Below are 6,000 nucleotides of genomic sequence, written 5' to 3'. Positions count from 1 at the left end.
AGCTCTCTAGATTTATATGAGAGAGAAAGAATTTACTGTACAACAGCAGAAAATAAAGGAATTCTGCCTCCAAAGCATCTTTGGAAGACACCTAATTCAACTTCATGGAACTTTAAAAATGAAAATTAAATGTCTAGAGGAGAAAAGTATTTTGAAGACAATAACTAGGAATGTTAACTTTGTTTTAAACAAATGAATTCAGAAAAATCTTGATTGTCTCCCTTCCCCCTTGTATAAAATTACAGGTATCATAGCTATCATCTGTGATCTCAGGCCAAAAAACAATTATATCCTTATTTCTCTGAGTTCAGGCCCACGGTAAAGACATTAAACTTATACTTACCACTTCATGTTTTTCTAAATAAATGAATTTTAGAGACATCAACTTGCAAAGGAGCACATCAAACTTAATGTTACTCAAATTTTTCTTTAATAAAGACAAAGGATTTAACAATTTTTGCGCAACTATACTTAACTGACAAAGATGATTTGTTTAGGATCTTAAGGATAGCAAAGATATATGCTAAGAGGGTACCACCAGGAAAAAAGACAAATACATTCTATCACTAGAAAATGCTTCAAGACAAAAATATTAATTCAATAAGAAAATATTTCATTTTTTTTTTTTATCACAGAGACAATTAACTCATTTCTGTAATCCAGTTACGTGGCATACATTCCTTTTTCTAGTTTCTCATGCAAAAGTTTGGAAAGTTTTTCTCAAAACAGAGCAAGTTAGCGCTAATGGTTTCAAGTCAGGGCTGGGAGTCAGCCTAGAAGAGCATGCTCAGAAGGCCATTTACACTTACCTGACCCCAGCCTGATGCTCTCCCCCATCCAAAAGGGGTCAGTTAATTCCTATTACTAATGAATTATCTCTTATACTTACTCTATAGACATATAAATTACCACAAATGTGCCTATAAATTAACAAGATATCATTCAATGTGGAGGAGAGCAGCTGGAACCCAATGACACCCTGGAGGTATCTTGGTTACTCTTTTTAGAAAACAGAAAAAAACCTGCCTCATTCCAGGTAATACATAAAAATAACACTTTAACACAAAGTGTCATCCTGCCTGTATTCTTTCCCTAAAATGCTGTGTAAGGAACTCAGAATTAAATAAAATTAGGACATAAGAATTAACAAGTACACCTAAAACAGACAAGAAGTGTAAGTAAGGACTGCTTCCTGTAATCCTAAGCATATTGTTCCATGGGTAATTTTCAGAACATAAAAATACAATAAATACTATAATGGAAATATAGGGATTCATTTATTACTTTTTGGTTTACAAACAAAGGCACCCAATAATGCTTTTATTTCTTATAAAAGATTCTCAATTTACATTTAAAACAAACAAAAACCCACAAAACAATCCCAAGTTAATTCCTATAGACAACACAAAAAAGGGGGAAAAGGAAATTCTTTTCCCTGCTTTCAAGCTTTATTACACAGGTTCAAAAATGATTATTTTATGCCATCCTTAAGTCAAAGAACGTACTGCCAAGCTTCTCTGCACTAAGTCTTAGGACATGTTAATGTTGCCAAGTCAAATATAAATATAGTCTCAATGACATCACAATTTACAAATGCATATTCCAAGATTAAAACTGAATAGGGGGAAAAACCCCAAATGTTTTAGAATACAGTTTAATCAAATGAGTTAAGTGAAATAAGAAACATTTAATTTAGTAGGCTATCCTGTTAAATAAGAAGTTTGTGTAGGAAATATAATCAAACAGAACTAAAAATCACGTCTAGTAAATGACACAAATAATTTCTCAAATCTTTAAGTCTGACTTAAGTTCAAAGTCTAGCTGGTGGGGATTAACAATCTATATACTCTTTATACTAATCTTAGAACTTTAAATTCTAGAATGACAAACTAATTTATTCATTAGTTTTCTTTTGACAACAGAACTCTAAACACACAAAATTAATGCAGTGAGTGGCCTCAGCACCCTCCCAGTTAACATTTCTTTAAGCTAGATTACAAGAACAATAAAACCATTCAGAAGACATACACTCCCTATGCACTTCATAGGCCTGCCCAAGTTGTCCCCAACTCTTTTGCAAGACACACAGACAATTCATCTGATTCTAAGTCTATTCGGCAGAAGTATAAAAATCATACAAATGTTAGCATGTTTTCAACACATTATGGAAATACATTTGGAGAGATGGAGTACTCAATGTATATTATGTGGGCCACTTTAAATAAAAGGCATCATTATCTATTCCATTTTCAGACATTGTCATGGTCTCTTATACCTTTATATAAGGTATGGTCCTAGACCAGAGACTTTAGTATCATTCCAAAGAATATAGAGATATTTATATACATATTTCTTTTAAAATAATATTTAAAAGTTTTACTACAGAAAATCTGGCTTCAACATGGAAGCATTTTTCCTTTTCAAGATTATACACCTGCATGAAAGTAGGTGATTTCCTTTACATTTAGTTTTTCACAATAGCAAAATAAACTTTTTATACATTGCATTTAAATTGACAAAGAAAGTTAAGATGTAAAGCTCCATGTAACTTTTTGTATTGCGAACTGTTCTCTTTAAACATACTCCAGATACACTGCTGATTATCTAATACAGTACAACTTGATAAACTTAATTAGAAGTGTTATGCTGAACAATTTGTTAAATCAAATGTATGTTAAAACAGTAAGTAGAGTTAACTATTATGATTAAAAGGGAATTTTAATGTATCATTAAAATATACATCAATTTTCTTGCTATTACTTGTTTCTATAACGCATTTCTTTCTAAAGCTAAAATCACATGCATAAAAAATAAGTGATACCTTCAAACTCATTCAACAGTTTGCTACCTTATGTAGTATGTAAATAAAGTCCTTTATTTAATTTCGTACACATTATCTTAAGCATTATTTTATTTTTCTTGAAGGAATTCATCTTTCAAGGTCAAAATTAGTATGTGTTTACACACGAGTATATTTTTTAATGCTATTACTACCTGCAAATACATTCTTCCATAATAATGCACTTTCAGTTTTCACTGGAAAGATAGCACAAGCCTTTTAAAAGTCCTATGAATAAAATTTATAAAGGGAGGAGAACACAAGTATGGTGAATCCTTCCCAACTCCCACTTCCATCAAATCTCAAGAAATCCTCCTGCTTCAAAACATAAACAATCTCACAAGATTTTTATTTGATCATAATGTGGAAAAGAAAACTGTATTCCTATTCTTTTTGATACTAACAGTTTTACGGAATTTGTTTTCACTTTCTGTCAAAAAACACGTATGTTGCTGATATGGATTCTCAAACCCATTTAGATCGAATAGGGTCATTAGAATAATATAGCCTTCTGATTTTAAAAGCAACTGATTACTTATAGAAAAATGATATGCATCAGACGTTTAATCAGAAAAAGAAAAATGAGAACATCTCTTTCATGTTTGATATCATTTAACTTACAGAATGATGTGAAAATACGCTGGTTATAATTTTAAACAAAACTAAAACCCACTTCAACTAATGAAAAAAACAAAAAATGAAGAATCAAATATCTACCAACTTTGCTAGTATTACTGTCCAAATAAATGTCTTCCATTGCACTGAACATTAGAATTAGAAATTCACTATATGTTAAGGCATATTATTTTAATTAATATGTTCCAGAATTGCACAGTTATACTGGTCAGTGTTCCTATTTCCCCACTCTTGTCCTCAGCACACCCCTTTCTTCTAGGGCTCAAAATATTAAGTCATGGTTTTGGTGGCTACTGTAGATTTGAGCTGGCATAACACAGTGTGTTCACTAAGTTTTATGAGCATAAACATTAAAATGTTACATAAAATATACCATAATTTACTTCACACTCCGATCTAAGATGGTTTAATGTCTTGACAAAAAGTGAGATGACTTATACATTTTACATTTTGTACATTTAGATCACCATATGTATAGATGTTCTAATGCTGAATCCTTGGTCTTCAGTATCTCATAGTGCTGGATGCTCGGAAGTATGACAAAAACTTGTAACACAGACTAACCACAAAGTACCAGATATTTCTTGCCATTTGTGATCTTGCAATAAAAATGCGCCAGATGAGGATCACAAGGATAGTATTAAAACCATAACGTATATTCCGCAACCTGGAAAGCAAATCAAGAGATATGTTAGACAGTATTTTCTAGAAAAAAATATTGTTAGATGGCAGCTAATTAATACTGAGTTTTTAATCAAAGCTCAAATCCATATTAATTTGAAACTTATGATAGGCATTAAGTATACTGTAGGTAAAACAGATATGTACCTTGAATTTCTAGAGCTTCCCATCTAATCTAAAAAGGTTCATTCATTACATACATCACAGTACAGACAAAATAGAGCAAACTTTTTTTTTGACATCTTTAGTTGCTTACAAGTTGTCAGACAAGTAACTTACTCTTTCAGTTACAGGTGACAGTCACAAGATCAAAGGCCAAGTGGATAAGCCCTTATCCAAGCATAAAACATGGCATTAACTTGATAAAGGAGGATCCTCCCTTTTCTCAAAGAGTAACAATATGTTACTCTCATGTTTCAGCTCATGTTTCAAAAAATTTTGATGTTTCTGATGGTGTTTGAAAGAAATACAAACCTTTAGAGATGTAATAATGTTACATAAATTATACTGACCTCAGCAGGCAGTGCAAGATAGGACGGCAATGTAAGAAAAATGATGTAGAGAAAAGAGGTTCGAATATGGAGTCAAAGATCAATATTCTAGTTTGCTTTGCCACTCAATACAATATGGCTTAGGCAAATATAACTTTCCTAAGCCTCAATTTCCTCATCTATAGAACTGGCTGCCCTGCAAAGTCGCACAGAGTTATGAGGCATGAGAGGGATAATAATGTGAAAGTCTTAAAAAGTGTCATAAAAATCACATTAAAAAGCACTACAAATATAAGAGATTACCATTAAAAATTATCTGCATCTTTGAATGACAGATATAGCAAATATACCAGTTTACCAAAAAAATTGTGGAATATTTCATAAGGAAGACAAGAAGCAATCAAATCCATGCATCAAACTCACTTGTTCAGATGTTTTCTGGCTGCAGGGAGGCCAGACATTTCTTCATTCAATACGTACTTCTTAGTTCCCAAGCAGTAGTTCTCTATATATTCTGCCCAATGTAACTGCCGTACATCAATATTGAAGGTCTACGTTAACAAAAAAATTACTGATTATTTTCTTGACTAATTTTTCTCACAACCAGTCAGAAATTCACACTTTTTCTAAAGGCCAGTTCCAAGTGACATAATTACAAAATTCTTAAATACAGAATTAACTTCTGAAATCTTACCGCTAGTCACTGAAAAGTTTGTATTCCTAGTTCATACCATCCATTAAACATGGAAACATTTGAGAAGATAATCTGGAAACTAATGTCAGCATTTAAAGAGAAGTAGGTTAAATATAAGAAGAAAAAAGCCTGTACCATTTTGCTAAACAAAGAAAAAAAAAGACAAAATTATATTGTCCACATAGATCTATGTATTCCTCACTACTTTATGCACGTACTGATACATTTCCAGTTCATGCCTACTGAACAGACTAATTTTCCTGGAGAATACTTCTGACATCAAGATGCGTTATGAAAACAACATCTCTGACATCAAGATATGTTATGAAAGCTGGCTAAGGAGTTTGGATAACAGTAATTAGATTATTTGATGAGAAGGATAGGTAAATCCAGAAAAGAAAGCCTTCAGAAATGTTATGGCAAAGTAAGAGGGCTATGCATTGCTCAGTGCTCCTTAGCATATAATAAGATAATTTTTTGGAGTTACAAAGATATTATTCAGTATATACCATCACTTATCTAAAAATAGCCAATTCTAGGAAGGGAAAGCTACTATAAAAAATTCAGTAAAATATAAAAATGCAGTAACTCTGCATTAAAATGAAGACTTAGGAAACATTTTGAGAAGGTATATGTGTATGTTATTGGGAATCCCATAA

General features: G+C 31.9%; 1 protein-coding gene across 10 annotated transcripts in view; it reads right to left on the bottom strand.

Annotated features, from left to right (window-relative positions):
- Positions 408 to 6,000, bottom strand: part of FAR1 (fatty acyl-CoA reductase 1) — a 63,679-nt gene continuing 58,086 nt past the window's right edge. For all 10 annotated transcript variants that reach the window (NM_001441242.1, NM_001441245.1, NM_032228.6 and 7 more), the window contains 2 exons: positions 5,071 to 5,198; positions 408 to 4,142 (listed from right to left, as the gene is read on the bottom strand). In NM_001441242.1, coding sequence (NP_001428171.1) covers positions 3,980 to 4,142; positions 5,071 to 5,198 — 291 coding nt within the window. In that variant the 3' untranslated portion in view covers positions 408 to 3,979. The remainder of the gene's footprint in view (positions 4,143 to 5,070; positions 5,199 to 6,000) is intronic.

This window comes from Homo sapiens, chromosome 11 (genome assembly GCF_000001405.40).
Source record: "Homo sapiens chromosome 11, GRCh38.p14 Primary Assembly".
Classification (NCBI taxonomy): domain Eukaryota; kingdom Metazoa; phylum Chordata; class Mammalia; order Primates; family Hominidae; genus Homo; species Homo sapiens.
The sequence above is the reverse complement of the archived record's forward strand: the minus strand, read 5'-3'. Positions and strand labels throughout refer to the sequence as shown.